This window comes from Homo sapiens, chromosome 3 (genome assembly GCF_000001405.40).
Source record: "Homo sapiens chromosome 3, GRCh38.p14 Primary Assembly".
Classification (NCBI taxonomy): Eukaryota; Metazoa; Chordata; class Mammalia; order Primates; family Hominidae; genus Homo; species Homo sapiens.
In genome coordinates, this window is record NC_000003.12 from 34,875,737 (window position 1) to 34,896,058 (window position 20,322).

Sequence of the window (20,322 nt, forward strand, 5' to 3'; positions counted from 1 at the left end):
TAGACAGCAAATAAGTTATTAATATAACTGATAGAAATATTCATTTTTATCAATATACTTTTGGAAGTTTTACCTATAAACATTTATTCATCCAATCATGTGTTCATTTATTCAGTAACTTTTCAATAAGTGTCTTTGACGTGCCAGTCACCAACTGTTTTGAATACATCAGAGGACAAGACAATGCAATTGTCCTACATTTGCAGAGAAACAGCTAATAAATAAATAAACAAACAAAGAAAATAATAACAGGCTATGGTAGATGATAATAAAAAGGAAATACAAAATGTACTTATTAGGTAGTTATAACCACTTAACAAGTCACCCTGAAACTTAGTGGCTTAGAACAACTAGAAATTATTGAATACACAATACTGGGGTTTGGCAATTTGTCCTGGGCTCCGTGAAACAGTTCTGCTTATCTGGGCCAGGCTCAATGGAGCTTGGCCATATCTCATTCGTGCTTCTACAGACAGCTGCGACATTGGTTTAGAGCTAGCAGGTCCAAAACAACTCAGCTGTGATGGCTCATCGGCGTTCCACATGGTTGTACATCCTCCAGCAGGCTACCTGGGACTTGTTCATTTGGTGATGGTGCTGAAATCTCAAAAGAGAGGATGAAAGTTTGCAATGCCTCTTGAGGCCCAGACTTGAAACCCAATAGACTCCAGCTACTGATGGCAGAAGTTCCTAAGAATTGAGGTCATTTTTGCAGTTAACACATTAGGACAGAACACCCAGGACTAAGATGATAATTTTGATGTTTGGAGTTTGGTTATAAAAGCAGCCAGCAAAGAAATCAGGAAACGATGATGTTCTAGGAGTCTCTAGAGGAGAGCTAGAAATAAAATAATTGAAACTAATGAAGTGAAACAGATACAAAGAGTACACATAAGGAGCTCAAAATCAATGATAACTTTTATAGGCTATAAAGGATAAAAAAATATAAAGTACAAAATGTTGGAACATTGTCCTAGAGTTTGCTAAAATTACCAACAAATAAAAACTCATTGGTCCTTCTGGTCTTTTATTTTTTCACCAAATCACCTGTATTAAAACTGTGAATTAGTTATGTTCTTGTATTTTGCACTATTTATCAAAAAAGAAACTATATAACTACTCAAGGGAGAGGAGAATGTTCAAGTGTATCCAGGAGGAAAAAAAATGTCAGTAGGAAAGAAAAAGCTTTTTTAATTTGATTCATTGCCTCTGAATTTAACTGAAGAATTTAGAAATTTAAAATATTAGACTGCTCCAAAAGTTGCAATCTGTTATCTCCTTTCACATTTATTATATATGTGTGTGTATATATATGTATATGTATGTATATTTTTTTCTAAACATATATACACATATAGGCATACCACATGTATATGTATATGTGTTATATACATATAAAACCCTGCACTGTGTTCCCAGAAAAGCCACAGACTCTCAATGCCAGCCTGTGAATGCAGCTGAAATGGGGCTGCACCCTGCAAAGCCACAGGAGCAGAGCTGCCCAAGGCTGTGGGAGCCCACCTCTTGCATCAGTGTGACCTGGATGTAAGACATGGAGTTAAAGGAGATCATTTTGGAAGTTTAAGGTTTAATGACTGCCCTATTGGTTTTCAGAATTGCATGGGGCCTGTAGCCCCTGTATTTTGGGCATTTTTTCCCATTTGGAACGGGTGTATTTACCTAAAGCCTGTAACTCCATTGTACCTAGGAAGTAACTAAAGTGCTTTTGATTGTACAGGCTCATAGGCTGTAAAGTTGTGCTATGTTTCACCTTGGCTACATCTTCCTAAATTTCTCACTGACATATTGCCATGTCCACATATGCCCAAACTTTAACGGACCCAGAAACCCAACAGAAATGCCAAAGCCAATCATGTAAAAGTTTTCTTAATGTCAACCTACCTTCTAAAAGACATTTTTTCAAAAGAGCAGAATCCAAAGGTAAATAATTATTTACAAGGCAGGGACTTGCCTTGTCTCAAATGAGACTTTGGACTTTTGAGTTAATACTGAAATGAGTTAAGACTTTAAGGGACTGTTGGTTGGAAGGGCATGATTGTGTTTTGAAATGTGAGGACATGAGATTTGGGAGGGCCAGGGCGGAATGATATGGTTTGGCTGTGTCCCCACCCAAATCTCATCTTGAATTGTAGTACCCATAATCCCCATGTGTCATGGGAGGGACCTGGTGTGAGGTAATTGAATCATGGGGTGGTTACCCTCACGCTGTTCTCATGATAGTGCATGAGTTCTCATGAGACCTGATGGTTTTATAAGAGGCTTTTCCTTATAAACTTCTCTCTCTTCTGCCACCATGTGAAGGATTTCTTTACTTCCCCTTCCACCATGATTGTAAGTTTCCTGAGGCCTCCCCAGCCATGTGGAACTGAGTCAATTAAACCTCTTTCCTTTATAAATTACCCAGTCTTGGATATTTCTTAATAGCAGTGTGAGAACATACTAATAAATATGTGTATGTATATATGTATGTGTATGTATATATCTATTTCTATACAAATATATGCATAACACATATATATGTGTATGTGTGTATATCCCTTTAATTGAATACAATTCATTTTGGGAAATGTACAATTACTTTTTTCTAGCCTTCAACTGGTCTACTTTATTCCACTTTCCATTGTGATTTGTTGGTGGTGTGACCTATTGCAGACTGCTTTCAGAAGTTTGATCACTGGTATTACTCAAGCATTATGACTGAGCCCAGAATGATGTGTTCTGTGTTGTTAGACATCCAATATGATGATAAATAGCTCTGTGCTCTAAAAGAGAAAGAAACATTTCAATCCAATATAAATGGAGAGACCCTGGCCTTGCCTGATTTTCTAGATAAACAGAGTTTGCTTTCTAGCTCTGATGAAAAGGCAAATTTTGAAATGGAATTAAGAAGCTGACATACACACCTGAGTCAGACTCATACCCATGCTTCAGTGATTTAACCATAATGGAGTTCCTGTTGCTTATATTGCGTGTTCACATACAAGCTAAACTTAGTTTATTCTAAACCCTTTGTGTCAGAAAGAATGAAACAAATGTATAGAACTGAACTCTATGGCCCAAAATAGTTCCTCCTATCTTCTAAAAGATAAAGATGTAGATTCCTTGTTTAATAGTTCATCTCCTGTCACAACTGAAATGAAGGAAAAGTAACTCCATTTCTCTGACAATTTATATCTATAATATTATGCTCAAATAGTCAAAGCTTCTCATTTAAGCATCATATAAATTTTCATGAAGATACTCATGAAGCTATTATTTGAATAAACAAATAATTGAATAATTTAGCACTTCCCAATGTGTTATATTTGTTTATTATACTCTCCATGAACAAAATAAAGTTTCTATCATTAGAAAAACCTGAGAATTTCTGTATAGTACACATTGGCATAATAAAAGTTTTAAGAAATTCCTTATTAAAGAAATCTGATAAATATTATATGTTAGAATGTTTATATGTTTTTTGAACATAGAGCTCTATTATTTCCACAAAATATCATTGTGATTGTTTGTATTACTCGGTGGTCTGCAGAACACAACTGGAAAATTCTGAGTTCTATTTTTTTTTTCTTTTCCTGAACCAAACACTAGCTATCCGGGAAAAGGCCAAGTCGTGAAAGAATTACTGGAAATGTGTGCACACCTCCACACCATTTACCTGAGCAGAAGTGCCTGTCAGATCCACATAGTCCTTGATAGTCCTAGAAGAAAACTACAGAAAACCATGATTATTAGGAAAAAGAGTCCAATGCAAAGAGAGCATCTAGGGATCATGGAAATACAGAGAGAGGCAAGACGCTGTTTTAAAATCCTGAAAAAAATAACACTATAGAGACTCAGTGCCACTTAATGGCACAGAGGCGGGTTCTTTTGATCATGTTGCAAAATCTGCAAGACATGTCGCTGACATCCCCAAGATTTGTGACCTCTGCCAAGTTATTTAACTTCCTTGAGCCTCAGTTTCCAGATCTCCAAAATGGGGTGAATCTGATACCCAATTCAAAAGATTGTTGTGAGGATTAAATTATGACAATAATATCTGACATGTAAGAAGAATTCAATAAATATTACCTATTATTTAGAAGAAAGAAAGAAAGAACTTTCTTGTTTCACTTAGGGTAGATTTTGATATCTGTGTCTATTTTGTCTGAGACTTATTGACAAGGATAGCTAGAAGGGAACTTAAGATCACCTGGCTAATTCCCATTTTTTAACATATAAATAAACTGAGGCCCAGTTTATTTAACTGGGCTGGAGGCATTTAGGTCTGATACATTTAGCTTCCCACTCATGGGACTACAGTAATTTAAATGACTCAAATTCTCATGCATAAAATTAATATTTTCCTTTTGAGCATATATTGACTTTCCCTTTTAATTCCCAAATATCCTAAATACTTCTCAAATATAGTTCTGAAATCAGACATTTCAATTTTTTTTCTGCACTTATTGGTAATGCTTTAAGCTTTTTGCCAGTTAGCTTGAACTGAACTGGATGTCAATTTGAATTGAATATTATTGTAAGGGAGACTCTATTCTCATCGCAGAAGAGTTTTAATTGGGAATGGATGCTAGTTATTTCAGCTAATCTACACTGGGTATCTGGATCTGTCATCTGTGTTCCATAACACCTCTTCTCTAATTCTTGTTCTTTAGCTTTCTCTGTCAAATTCTAGGACACTGCTCCCATTTGTCTCCTATTGCAGTGATACAATTTTCTGCGGTATCAAGTTACTATTCTACATCCCCATTCTCATTTTAAATTCAGCTCTCAGGTTTTCTTTACTTCGTACATATTTCTGACACAGCTTATTTATAACAACTTGGCTTCATAAATACATGAATCTTTTCTCTTTAACATTCTGAGAACAAATTTTTCTAGTTTTCTCCCTTTTTCTTCTGTAACTCTTGTTAACTTTTTTCTGTTTTTATTACTATTTTATTGCTTTGAGTCAAAGAAAATGTCCTTCACATTTCCCAGATCTTGTAATTTTTTGAGACTCCATACATAGTTGATGTAGGTTCATGTTTTAATAAAATTTCAAATTATTTTTATGGTACATGTAGAAAGCACTATTCAACCACTAAATGATTATTATTGGCTACCTTATTATAAAGTTTAGTAGATTTATTTTGTTTTAAACATTTTTGAAAGATTGAGATTTACAAGTTTAAAACTATCATTATTATAAATTTGTCCCATATTTTTATTTTTTCCTATATATTTTTCCTAATTGTCATATAACTATGCAGTCTACTTTTTTATTGAAGTAAACAGCTGCTCTTTCTTTTGCATAATATATTTATTTAAAGCTTACACTTTGTGATATTCATATTGAAACCACTTTCTTACCTTACTATTTTCTAATCCTTTAAAGGTAAAATTTGAGGGTCAGATGTGTCCTTTTTAAGCAATGCATAGTGACATTTGTCTGATGAAGTTAGGTCACACAGTACTGAGGAGTCTGTCATTGGCTGGTGGCTCACTTTCACCTTTACACCCACAAGTTCTCACTGACACCCACTCATTACTTTAAATGATTCTCTTTTGCAAACTAGACCTTCTGAGTATCGTTTCTTGGCAAATTGCACAGGAGTCTAGCCAATTAATGAGTAAGAAAAATTTCCTTTCCATTAAGTCTTAAGATAATAGGTTTTTGAATCTGTTCTATCTAAAAATTAGCTTTTAAGAGAGGTGTTGATATAAATATAATGAATTAATATATCAAATTTCTTATTAAATGTTCTTGATACTGCTGAATATACTGAAAAAAGTATGAAACGCCTCTATGAAAATTTATCCTTGTGACCTCATACAAATCCTTTGTGCCATCTGAGGCTTACTTACTGCATCTGTACAATGAAACATTCGCCTATCTTAGCCATAACATCCCCTGCCCTACTCAGAGGTTTTGCAACTCTGTGAACTCTAAATATAAGGCAGATCCAAGTACTCAGTTAGGATACAAGTATTTGGGGGATGATGCATAAACTTTCAGAAACATGCTTTAGAATTTAGTATGGCTTACCAATAAAATAAGTGATAAATAGTTTGAATAAACAATGATATTCTGTTAAATTCTTTATTACAGTGTACTTTATTGGATTTTTTAATGATGCAAAAATTCCAATGTGATGAGCCAATAACTCAAGACTTTTTTCAGATAAAATATGTATTTTCAGGTTCTAATCAGTTGCTTATGCATTTATCCATTCATGATTATTTACTTAAGTAAAACTGCAAGGTAGATGCAGTGTGGTGATATAAAAATGGAAACATGAGTCCCTGGAGACACTTGTTTGATAACTGTCACTAAGATTTGTTTCTCTGATACCAAAGAAAAGAATTTTGATTTTGGCCCTAACCAAGAGATATTTCATTAAACATTACTTTTATAGGGCACTCTAGGTGTTAGGTCAAAAATATGATATATGTATTTAATATAACAAAGTTCTTTTTATCTTCAAGAGAAATGTATAACGTTCAGCATAACTAATAAAGAAGTACTTTTGTTGTTGTTGTCGTCGTTGTTGTTGTTGTCCTTTTGGCAGAATATCTTGAGGAACATGTGTTCCATGGGAAAGTTTTGGGGATATGATGTGCTTGGTGGGTCTATAAGGTGGAGTTCAGTTGACCACCCTCTCTGGCCAAATGTTGAAGAGCCTTTTTTTATTTAAACAAACAAACCAACAATATCATGAAACAATTGTTTAAACTAAATGGAAATGACTTTTGGCTGATATCTTCTTTCAATGATTTGAACTATAGTGTCCTGCAACTATGAACTAAGAGTTTAATGAAAACATATAGTTAGACTTGTGGTAAACTTATGCAAAATTTCTTCTCTGAGTGGGTCACCAATTATTTTATAGGAAAGCAGGTTAATATCACATTTTTCTTGCTGTGTGTGCAAAACAGTCTAGAAATAAGTGCAAAAATGCCTACTGTACCCCTTTCACACTGGCCCTCAAAATAATTCTGAATAACATAATTAAAAGAAACTTGACAGAGAAGACAGAAGTCATTTTTAAAATATTTTAGATTCTAGGGTAATGCTGAATTAACTTTGTCCTTTCTATGTTTTTGTCCACGATGCCAATCCGTAGATATGATGTTGGCCCACATACTCCATACAGTTCTGCTTTGCAGCTGCAAAGTAGATGAGGGGCCAGGAGGGGGAGTAGAAGTTAAAATATTGCAGACAGAGCTACCCTAAAATTCATGATAAAATGATTAATGCTGATGACAGATGGAGAAGTAAGCAAGGCCAGCCAGAAAACACCACCAACTGGTACCTAAGGACAAAGAATGAGGACTTCCAAAATGACAAACAGAACAGTAATTGAAAAAAAATCACATGTGCAATTATTAAAAAGGGGAAACTGTAGTAGGAGACAAACCATTTCTCAAATATAAATGCAAATGGTGGTTGTATATGTTTCAGCCAGACAATGGTGCTTCAATGTATCACCGTCATGAAAGAACAATGAGGCTTAGGCTAAGTTTGTGTGTTGATTTTCCATGAAATCCACAAAAACAGGCTATAATTTTCAAGTAAATAGCTCTCCTATGGTAAAATACTAATGCTTTTCTTGCATACCTTTTCTTTTTTTTTTCTCTCAGAAAGCACAAGATAGATCCAGGTAGCCTTGCTGATGAATGTCAGATATTTTAAGCTTCCTTTATTATTTTTTATTTCTACGAAGAGTAAGGCAAGAGGGAATAGTGCTCCACATGATGATATCTGCTCCATTCTGAGCAAAAGTGCTTTTAAATCCCCCAAGCCTGGTCTCAAAATACTCTCCTATGTAAAATACCAAGGGAAAAAGAAAACCCTAGGGACAAATAAAGGATGAACCAGATGATGACATTTTTTCTTTTGATATTTTTTCCCTTTCTAAGGTTACATATGCTTGCCTTCACTGTCCATTACAAATATGCTTTGTCCTTTAACTGAGTCAGAATGCCACCTGGGTGTGCCACTTCCTCACAATTATGCTGTAAATATGTTGATTTATGCATACAATTATGCATCTTATATTATATTATGTAAATGTGGCTATAAACCTAATGTAGACCATTCTTCAGAAAGAAATTTTAAAAATTCCTTGTAAAAGTTATCATATATTATCAAACTTTTTTGTTTCTCCACAAATATATGTAAACATTGAAACCCTTAAACGGCCTGGTACATGAAAGTTACTCAATACTATTGACTTTGTTTCTTCTTATTCCTCTTTCCACCTCAGGCAGCAGACAGGAAAAGAAAAAAAAATACAAAAAGAATCCATGGAGATAAGAATTGTATGATTATTATAATGTTAACATTTGTATAATATTTTGGAATGGTGGCTTTTATGGCAAGTTTTACGCATGCATCAGCAGTTAATCAATCATATTAGACAGAACAGTATGAAGGGTAAAGTATTCAGGAGTCTCAATTGCTGCTCTCCACCTTTTCCCTCAACATTTCCCCACACTGTCTGAGATCCTTGTTGCTGTATGGATAATACAGCCCATGATTAGGAAAAAACATTCATCTTGACTGCAAAGTAGTATAGGGTTAGTTTCCAAAAACGAAAAATATGGAGAAAAGGAACATGCATTTTTGCCAGTTCTCCCTCTTACTGAATTTCTTGCTTACCTCAAGCATAAATTTCCTCTTTTGCATAAGAGGGATATGAATGTTTTGAAAATTCAGCAGGTAAAACATTTCAGCATATTTAGTTTGGGCCCTGGCACAGAGTAACTTTTGTAGCTGCTATTTGATTTAATGTCTAGAGAAAAATTCAGTATCACTGCCCAAAATGGTTATTCCTTAAAACGTCTTTGTTTTATTATAAAAGCGGTAAAATCTTGTGACAGAAAAATTGGTAAGTGGAGAATATTACAAAAATAGCTCCCAGTTATATTTTCCATAACACATATAATTTTGGGGTACTTTTTCTAGTTTTTTTCTTTTTTAATCTCATGGTGTTTCATTTTTGTCTTGGTAATCATTCTGTACACACAATTTGGCATACTCCATTTTTGTACTGTTTTTCATATTATTTCATAACCATGAAATTTTAATACCCACAGAAAACTTTATGTAAGAAAAGTGTATTTAATTATTTTAAATTGCCTCATTTAAAAATTTAAGAAAATTTTTAAAGCAAAATACGCTTGTAACAATTATTCTTAGGCAGCTATTAAAATAAGTTTATTGATTACACTATGTATGGGTGATATTAATTCACATCCTTGCCACAGAACTTTTTTTTTTGTTTATCATCGTTTCAGCATGAAGGGATTAGTGAAGTACCTAGTATTCAAAATATGCTATATTTGAATTACTTCTCAGCTAGAGTAAATGCAGTATGCCAAAAAGATAGCCCAAAGCCCTGGATACACTAACAAATGCATTGTATGTGGAAATGATAGATTTTTTCTGGAAGTAAATTATTCATCTGCCTGGATCTCTGAAAATATTAGCCAAGCAAAAATAGTTGCTGAGAACACAGTAAATTTTACAGTATATTTTTTCCCCTGACAAAATATTTTGAGAAATTTGTTGGTCAAAGAAATTTTTATTTCTCCTCCCATTCTTATTAAACATTATTCATAGAAAAAAAATTCATTATCTAAGTTCCATGGACCGCACTGGAGTTTCATGGATGGACATTGGGAGTTTCATATGTTGCTTAAAATTGTGCACCAAATCTAGAATTTTCGAACCTTTCTAGATTGGTCTTGGGAGACGGGCTTTACTTTTTTCATAGCATCTAGTGCTGGACATAACGATGTCAAAGTTTCCTTCCAACTATAAAGAAATGTGTTTTTGATGGTCTGCTGATATGATGGTCTCAATGTCTCCCAAAATTCATGTGTTAAAACCGAATCCCGGTTGTGGTGGTATTATGGGGAGGGGGCCTTTCGGGAAGTGATTAAGTCATGAGGGCTCTGCCCTTATGAATGTATTCGTGCCTCATAAAAGGGCTTGAGGGAACTAGCAAAGATCCTTTTTACCTTCTGCTTTGTCATATAGAGGACGCAGCAAGAAGGCTCTCAGCAGACAGCAAATGTTTGTGCCTTCATCTTGTACTTCCCATCCTTCGGAACTGTGAGAAATACATTTCTGTCCTTTATAAATTACCCAGTCTGTGTATTCTGTTATAGAAGCACAAATGGACTAAGAAATTGGTGCTGAGAAGTGGGGTGTTGCCATAACAAATACCTAAAAATGTGGAAGCAGCTTTGAACTGGGTAATGGGTAGAGGCTGAAGCAATTTTGAAGGTCATGTTTGAAAACATTTAGAATGCCATGGAGCATTAAGGGTGACTCTGGTGAGGCTTAGAAGAAAAGGATAGGTATAGAGAAAGCCTCAGTCTTAGAGATTATCTAAGTGGTTGTGAACAGAATGTTTGTAGATGTATGGACAGTAAAGGCCATTTGAATGAGGTCTTAGGTGGAAATGAGGAAGGTGTTACTGGAAACTGAAGGAAAGGCCATCCTTGTTTCAAAGTGGCAAAGATCATGGCTGAATTATGTTTGTGTCATAGTACTTTGTGGAAGGCAGAATTTAAGAGCAATGAACTAGGATATTTAGCTGAAGAAATCTCTAATCATTTGTTTAGGATACTAGATGGCTTATTTTAAACTACTTTTAGTAAAATATAAGAAGAAAGAAATGAGTGAAAGACTGAATTAATAATCAAAGAAGAAGCAGAACATGAAAGATCTGGGAAATTCTCAGCTTGACTATGTAAAGAATAAAAAAGCATATTTAGGAGAGAAAACTAAGGAGGTAGCCAACGGTCCCGTTGATAAGAAGATTAGTACGGATTGAAGGAAGCCAGATGCTATTCATCAAGACTATGGGAGAATGACCCTGAGGGCATTTTGGAGATCTTCCAGGCTACCTTGCCATCACAGGCCCAGAGTCAGAACACTGAGTGCAGAATGGTTTCAAGGGAGAGACCCAGGTCACTACAGAGTTCCAGGGTGCCTGTGGGACTGCAGGGATCACTGCCCAGGCTGCCTCAAGTCTCAGCTGGCTGCATTCTGGCGTAGCACTCTTTGGCTGCTCCAGATGTGACTCAGGTGGGCTCAGGTGCAGCTTGGGCCACCACTGCAGAGGGCACGAGTTGTAAAGCTTGGTGGTGTCCACCTGATACTAAATCTGCTGGCACACAGAGTGAACAAGCATTGGATGCACAGCTACCTCCACCTAGATTGCAAAGGATGGCTGAGAGTATCCCCACTAGGGAAATGTCTAGTGGAGTTGGGAGAGTGGGGCTGCCCCCAAGATCTTAGAACTGCAGAGACAAGAATGTGATCCCAGCCGCATAGATCTTCAGACACCTGACTCCAATCAATAAGAGCTGCTGTGTGAATGCACCCCACAGAGCTGTGAGGGTGGGCCCCTTCAGGGCCTTAGAGGCCCAACCCTCAACCCAGTGTGTCCAAAAGGTGGGATATGCAGCCAAAGAATATTATTCTCAAGCCTTAAAATTTAATGTTTTTTGCCTTATTGGATTTTTAACTTATTTGGGACTTACTCCTTTCTTCTTTCTTATTGCTCCCTTTTGGAATGGGAATGTCTAAACTATGTTTGTCCCATCACTGTATATGTAGTACATAACTTCTATGATATCACAGTTTCAGAGCTGGAGAACGATTTGCCTCAGGATAAATTGTACCTTTAGTCTCATCCATATCTAATTTAAATGAGAGTCTGGAGAGACGACTTTTGAGTGAATGCTAGAATTAGTTAAGAACTTTGAGTTGTTGATATGAAATAAAAATATATTTTCCATGTGGGAAAGACATAAATGTTGGGGCCAGGGCAGAATGCTACGGTATGAGTGGCCCCCTAAATTTATGTGTTGAAACTTAATCTCCGTTGTAATCGTAGTAAGAGGTAGGGCCTTTTGGGGAATGATTAAGTCATGAGGGATCCACCCTCATGAATGGATTAGTTCCTCATAAAAGGGCTCAAGGGGACTATCCTAGGTCCTTTTTGCCCTTTTGTCTTCTGCCATGTGAGGACACAGCCAGAAGGCCCTCAGCAGACACCAAATGCCAATGCCTTGATCTTGGACTTCTCTGCCTCCAGAACTGTGAGAAATAAATCTCTGTACTTTATAAGTTACTCAGTCTGTGGTATTCTCTTGCAGCAGCACAAATGGAATAAGACACCTGGCTCACCCCTGTGTTTGGAAATACGTGCTCCCATGTGGAGACCAGTCCTAGCTCTCCCACTTCCCTCTAAAATAGCTTAACATTGACAGGGCTGCATAGAAATAATCTGAATGTGGAAATTACAGGTGGTGGGAGATCCTTGACATTTTGAAGACATAAATTAGACAGGTTTGACATGGGGTGCTAGAAACAAACAAACAAACAAACAAGCATATAAAACATAAACCAAACTCTTTCCCCAGTGGTAGAATGCCCAAGCCACAAGTTGTTCCATTTTTCCTTCCTCAGGCTAAAAATAGTGGTTCTGTTTGGAGGGGCTCACAGCTTTTAAAATGTGAATGTGCCCAGTTATTCTAACATTCTGTTTTCTTCTTTATAACCAGTAAGATGCCTTAGAACATTCTACCATCCAGAAATTGGGACCAAATCAATAAATTGTAAACACTTCACAATTCCTTTCCCTTATTCTTTTTCACAAATAATATCTGTGCAAATAAGTAAAATCTTACTAATGCTTTTCTTCTTTTTCCATTTTATACTTTTAAAATGTTTAAATTTCTATGATAGTCACAGAAAAATGTTTTCTAAAAATCAGAGAAGCTGCACTACATTTCTAGAATATAAAATCAGATCTGGAGATTATCAATTTTTATTTCAGTGCCTAAATTTTTCAAAACTGTGTAAAAGGGAACCAACATATGCATGCTAGTGACGTACCAGAAACTGAGCTAAGAGGATTACTTACATTATTTCATGTGATCCTCAGAGCAACTTCAAGTTGCTATTTTCAACTTATTTTATTTATGAGGAAGCAGGCCCTAGAATATTAGGTAACTTGTCAGAAATCCCAAAGCTGGTATACAGATATACTAGTCCATTTGTGTTGCTGTAATAAAAATATTATCAACTGGGAGGTTTGAGCAATGCACATTTATTTATCAGAGTTCTGGAGGTTGGGAAGTCCAAGGTCAAAGCACTGGCAGATTTGGTGTCGTGTTAGGGCCCATTCCTCATAAATGACATTGTCTTGCTTCATCCACACATGATGGAAAAGGGAAAGAGAACTTTGTAGGATTTTTTTATTAAGGGCACTAATCCCATTCAGGAAGGCTCTACACTCATGACCTAATCATTTCCCAAATGCCCCACTTCCTAATACCATCACATTGGGGGTTAGGATTTCAACACATAAATTTTGAGAGGACACAAACATTCTGTCAATAACAATGGCAAAAATGAGAGTTAATCAAGAGTTTTCCTATTTCATCATCATTCTAAACCTTACTTTTTTATTACAGGGACTAGAGATTCTTTTATAATCACATGTCAGAAAATGAGTATGACAGTATGCTTCATTGGAATAAAACTGGCAGAGAATAGCATGATTATGCTGTGGTTTCTATTTGAGATTGGAAAGATATTGCTGAGAATAAGCCATTTTGATCAATACAATATTGGGGGGATGGTGTGAAGAGCAGAAGCAATTGACTTGAAGGTCTACAATGCCATGAATTTACCACCTAATTAAGGATGCTTGAGTTATGCAAATTATTAATCTAAAAGAATCACATCATTAATATTTGAGCCATATTTATTCGTTAGGCAAAATGGATCTACTTAGATACAACACTTACCATTACTTCAAATGTAGATGTAGCAATGCTTTCATTTACCTCAAACTTCTCTCCACACTGACAACTCATTCAGTCTTAATGATTCTCCCACAGATTTGCTTATAGGTGCTTTCAGCTGTGGGGGGTCAACTGAGACACAAAGCTTTAGTGAACACTGGTATGCCATTTCCTCCATTACAGTGAGCAAATGAGGCGCTTTGTCCAAGACAGTTTACTAAATGTGCTCGGTGTAATGAGCTCTGCATTATAATACACTGAGCATGTGGCTACTTTTGGCTTAGAAAAGAGCCCTATCAGAGCTGGTGGCTAACCTCAGTAGCTTTCACAGTGGTGCTGTGATATCACAAGGGCTCAGGATAGCCTGGCAAGACATTTGCTTTTGCCAGTGCTAAATTAAGGGCTACTGTTCTTATTTTTATTGAGTGTTAGGGAAATAAAAAGATACACACCTTATTTTCTTCTTTCCTTTCTCCATTCCATCTCCCCTCCTTCACTTCCTTTTTTCCCACAACCTAAACCGAAACCCTTTCTCATGCTTGCTCTTTCCCTCCCTCCCTCCCTCCCTCCCTCCCTTCCTTCCTCCCTTCCTTCCTTCCTTCCTTCCTTCCTTCCTTCCTTCCTTCCCTCCTTCCTCCCTCCCTCCCTCCCTCCCTTCCTTCCTTCCTCCCTCCCTTCCTTCCTTCTTTTTCTTTCTTTTTCTTTTCTTTTCATTTTTCTTTTCTTTCTTCTCCTTTTCACAAATATGTTTTATATTAGAAGTAAGTGTGGAAAGAGCATGGTCTGGTCCAGGGACTGGTACTCTTTAACTATAAAGTGTCAGCAAATAGTTTACTTTTGTGGGCCATGTGATCTCTGTCACAATGACTCAACTACGCTTTTGTGACATAAATGCAGCCATAGACATACTTGTAGGTATTAGTGTGGCTGTGTCCTAATAAAATTGTATTTATGTGTATTATGTGTCCTAATAAAATTGTATTTATGAGTATTATGTGTCCTAATAAAATTGTATTTGAATTTCATACAAATTTTATGTATCAAGAAATATCATCCTTTTGAATTGTTTCTAACAATTAAAAAATATAAAAAATAGAAATCTTAACTCACAGACTTTACAGAAAGAGGCATCAGTGTAGGTCTCTGGTCAGAGGCCAATTCAGCTCTGATGTCTGCCTGGTTCCATATGCTAAAATTTGGCATTTAATGTTTCTCTCAAAGACATTACCTCTGTCTAAAAGATCACTTTCACAATTTCTACTCCATGCTCAAAATTCCCAGACTTATCTTTTATTCTCTGACTCTGCATACCCTTTGACCCTTAACACTAAACTCAAGTGATTTATTTTTCATGAAATCTCTTCTTATCTTTCTTCTTTCCATTAGCTTTTCAGCTGAGGCTGTCATAACATAATAACACAGACAGGGTGCCTTAAAGATCAGAAATGTATTTTTCACAGTTCTGGAGGCTGGAAATCCACGATCAAGTTGTTGGCAGGTTTGGTTTCTCCAGAGGCCTCTCTCCTTAGCTTGCAGATGGCTGCCATCTTGCTGTGTCCTCACATGGCTTTTCCTCTTTCTGCGTGCATGCCTGGAGTCTCTCTCTTATTCTAAAGACCCTACCCTTATGACCTTGTTTAACTTTGATTATCTTCTTAAAGGGCCTGTCTCAAAAAACAGTCACATTGGGGGTTAGGACTTCAGTGTCCTAATTTGAGGGAAAAGGAATTCAGTCCATAACACTCTCAATTAGATGTATGAAACTTAAGGAGAGCAAAAAACTCAGCAATCAAGACAGATAATATTTTAATACGATATTTTAAAAATAAAAATCAATGCAAAAAATCAATGATAAAAAATCAAAATTTTAAATAAAGGCAGGATCAATATTATTGATTTTTCTTTTTGTCTCAGACTTTAATATGGCTCAGCATAACACTGACTTCTTCCTCTTTGCTACTTCAGCCTATCCTTCATTTTGGTCCTGTTTTCACTTATGATATGTAGCATCCCCTTCCTTGATTATGCATTTTTGAAATCGGGGATTCTAACTATAATTACTTCCTCAATTTTTAGCACACTATCTAGCATATAATAAGTACACAATAATGTACTTTTAAAATGTGTACCCTCTGGTGTGGCATAAGGGTCTAATGTAGCCACTCAAATATTTGGAATACTTTTAAAAATCAGAAATGTGTAAAGAAGTACACTGCAAGGACCTTTCTCATGATGTTTATGATGAAAACATTTTGTGTTAGGCAAACATTTCTGGAAAGTGTGAAGAAAATGGAAGAGGATGCAAACAATGTGAATGATAATATGATGGTACCTATGAGATAAGAGGAAGAGCAAAATCTTTTCGAGAAATATACTATGCAGCAAAGTCATACACGAGGCTTGTCATATGGGATACTTCCTTTAAACTTCACATCTTTAGTTTAAATTTATAGGTGAGAAAACAAAGGAGTTAAGTAGTTAAGTAACTTATAGCCCATAGCCAAATGCAGATTAGAGAGGATTAAATCATTCTGAATCCCGTAAGACTCACTTCCTAAGATTCTATTTTGGTACATATTAAGGAATAGACATTATTTTTCTCTCAAGGGATTTACATTAACATAAGAGAATAACAAAGAGTAATGCAAATCATTAGTGACTTGAGGATTCTGGCACAAAATTATCTCTGAAATTAACCATACTGCTCTTTCAAATTTCTCCTACCAGACAGTGAGCTGCTGGAGCATAAGCGCTATCCTACTAAACTGTATTCACCATGACGCCACAGATTATAACGAATGCATTTTGACTTTTTCATTACAGTCACACTTGGTTTGCAGCAAACAGGGAGTTCATCAAGTCTGGAGAAAGGGACATTTCCCAGATCAGCACAGTGTACCCACACTTTGGAGGTACTCAGCCACAAGACCTCATGAAGTACATCCCAACTATGCTTATAGTTGCTGTGAAGAATTTATACCCCATCCTCCAAAAATCTGGCAATATTACTATGATTCTACCTTGATGTCCATTCACCAGAGGACCTGTTCTTGGTCTTCTGTTACCCTGCATTTATGTGTTACAATTTTGTTATTTCCAGCCTCATAAACTTTTCACCACCACTACCATTCAGAAGTCTGAATGTAATTGCTCTTTGCTTCCTGTCCTACAGCAAAAGTCTTCTCTGTGTTGACAGAAAATTTTTGACATGGGTTAGCATGTTAACATGCCCAATGCTGGCTTCTAAGACTAAATTCTTAGACTTACTGTTTACCTTTGCCTACATGGGTGGGAAGATGAGATAGAGGGGGGATCTAGAAATATGAGGTCACCTGCTGTTATAACTTTGATAACTGTGTTTGTCAGATAGTCATCACCTTCTTATGGGGGTGGGATATTTCAATTCTCAACAGGTTCAAGAGAATGAGAAGCTTCCCCATGTGCCCTTTAGTGGCAGCAGCAGAACCTGAAAAGAAACTGGGAAAAAATCATATTCATGATGTGTATAAATATTGAGAAAGAAGCAACTGAACAAATAAGGTAATCTTTGGAATCCTGACTTCCTTTCTGCCTATAAGGATAGAGGCAGCTGGAATATAAAGGTAAAGGACACGGGCCTTAAATCCAGAAAATTTGGGACAAATCCCAGCTAGATTGCTCAACTGCCTATGTAGCCATTAGCATGTTATTCCATGTTTCTTCATTAGTATGTGGGGGATAATAACAAGCTCATTTTAGGATTGTTGAGATTATTAAAGGAGATGCTAATGAAGCTTAAGCTTCAAGGCCTCTCACTTGCATAGGTCTTGTAACTCATTTTATACTAAAATTGTGTATTTTCTAAAAATGTAAACATTTTAGGTTCTAAAAAAATCTGAATCCATGCTTGTTTGAATCTTTCTCTTTTTAAAACACATTTAATATCAGATACTAGCAAGAGGAAGACAACAACTTATGGCAAGAAATGACATACTTATATTTTTAACCAACTCTAAAATAACATAAAAGCATATGAGGTATTTAGGTAGGAAGAAATTTATTTAGAAACCTAACAGCATAATAGAAATTATAGTGATTTATTCCATTTACCTTACTATTTGTGTTAATCTATATATACGACATTTTCTATACAGTTCTTGTTATAACTTGTTTGCATTTTGGATTTCAGCATGATCTGTTGAATGCAAAACTTGGAATTAAATCTGGAGCACAAGAGGAAGAGTTGGCTCTCTGTAGCAGCAAGGACAATTCCCTCATTTTAATAATGAATTAGTAATATGTCTAATATTTAGTAATCACTTACCATGTGATGGGAATTGTTCTTAGGATCTGAACAATATTAACTCACTTAACTTCCAGAAGTAATTTGAGAGGTAGATTCTATCACTGTTTTCATTTTACAGGGGAAAAACAGGGATACAGAGTAGTTAAGCCACTCCCCTATTCTCACAGATCTCAGCTATTACATAGAGGAGCCAGGACAGAAAGCCAAGATGTCTTACTGTACAGGCGATATCCTCAACCATCATGACAGACTGCCCTCTGTAACTAAGGAGAAGGCACATTATAAGAGTAAACATGAGGGCTGGGCATAGTAGCTCACACCTGTAATCTTAGCATTTTGGGAGGCTGAGACAGGAGGATCACTTGGAATGTGGAGCTTGAGGCTGCAGTGAGCTATGATTTCACCATAACCTGCGTGAAAGAATGAGGCCTTGTCTTGAAAAATAAATTTTTAAAAATAGTAAAGATGAGGAGGATCCAGAGATTTGGAGTTGGGAAGAGGATAATACTTTCATGTTATGATATTGATTTTGTAAGTTAAAGATAACACAAAGTCAATAGTTGAGTACATTGGGACAAAAAGAAATATGAAGTAGTCATCTTGGATTAAAAAATGAATTTACTAAGAAAACATTGGGATTTTGGGGTAGTTTAGTTTAACGTTTGTGGCTACACATGTAAAAAGAGATCAGCACCATTTTAGGATTTTTCTTCAACAACCTTTAGCTCCTTTCTTATCTATTTGTCCTAGGTTGGTGTATTAGTCTATTTTCACACTGCTAATAAAGACATACCTGAGACCGGGTAATTATAAAGGAAAGAGGTTTAATTTACTCACAGTTACACATGGCTGGGGAGGCCTCACAATCATGGCAGAAGGCAATAAGGAGCAAGTCACATATTACATGGCAGCAGCAGAGAATGAGAACCAAGCAAAAGGGGTTCCCCCTTATAAAACCAACAAATCTTGTGAGACTTCTTCACTACCAAGAGAACAGTATGAGGGAAATCACCCTCATGATTCAATTATCTCCCACCAGGTCCCTCCCACAACACATGGGAATTATGGGAGCTACAATTCAAGATGAGATTTGTCTGGGGACACAGCCAAACCATATCAGTATACATTTGGATTTCATTCATGATTGGTTGTTTTCTCATGAGTGTGTCAAAGTGGAAACTAAAGAAAACGTATTAAAAGTATTTGCAAGGAGCTGGTTACAATTCTGGCCCATGCATTCTATAGTTCTGTGTTAGTAAAGAGGACATAACATGTGCAGACATGATAAAGTAATAGTTCCAATGAGGATAAAGAGTTATTGGAATAGGAGACTAGAGTAAGCAAGCTGGAAAGACCAGAGTTAGTGATCTAAAACTAGAATTTTAGCTTTCAAGGCTTTGAAAGAAGCAATGTTATTGTTGATGACAATGTCTAAGTTTGAACCATTCGTGTGAGTGACTTAAGTAGGAGTGCAGAAAAAGCATGGCTCTTGAGGTAGTCGAGGAATTGAAATGCTAGGGGTTCTGTGGTTATCAAAAATGGTGGAAGGACCAGTAATGGAGAGCAAATTAGTGAGCTAGTTTGTAATGCCATCAAAGGATTAAAGGGAAATAATCAGAGAATGGTAAATAATAGCAGATTAGCTGTCAGAATGACTAAAGTGTCAAAAGGCATAAAGTTTTCAAGGAAGAATGTAAAACAGTGACTTAGAATAGGGACTGGCAAACTATGAACTGTGAGCCAAATCCTTCTCACACTTTTTTTTGCAATAAAGTCTTATTGGAACACAGCTAAGCCCATTCATTTATGTATTGTCTATTGTTGTTTTGGAGGTACAATGGCAAAGTTAGATAGCTGCAAATATTTTCTATACGTATCATTACAGAAAACATCACAGGCCTCTGATCAAAAAGTAGTATCAGGACACTTACTACACATTTAAAGTCCAAGATACATGGAGGGGGAAAACGCTATTTATTTGAGAGAACTGCAGGGAAAGCATTGTCCACAGAATCCCTCCAAGTTTTTCTTCAATGAGGTGGTATAGAGTGCAGAGTATAGAGTTATAGTTTTATCACTTAGAGTTTTCTCTGTATAACGAACTCTACAGCTAGAGAGTTACTGACACAAGTTCAGCCATCTGCCAGTATCATGACCTAATATGTTTTCTGGCATTCTTCTCTGCCATCCTTGGCAGGTTTGTT

At 36.2% G+C, this 20,322-nt stretch overlaps 1 long non-coding RNA gene across 1 annotated transcript in view; it reads right to left on the minus strand.

The window, feature by feature from the left end:
* Window positions 1-58: 58 nt before the first annotated feature.
* LOC101928135 (uncharacterized) overlaps window positions 59-20,322 on the minus strand; it is a 518,229-nt gene continuing 497,965 nt past the window's right edge. Inside the window, exons 3-4 of the long non-coding RNA NR_110817.1 lie at window positions 3,677-3,730; window positions 59-838 (exon numbers count right to left, since the gene is read on the minus strand). This is a non-coding gene — a long non-coding RNA (uncharacterized LOC101928135). The remainder of the gene's footprint in view (window positions 839-3,676; window positions 3,731-20,322) is intronic.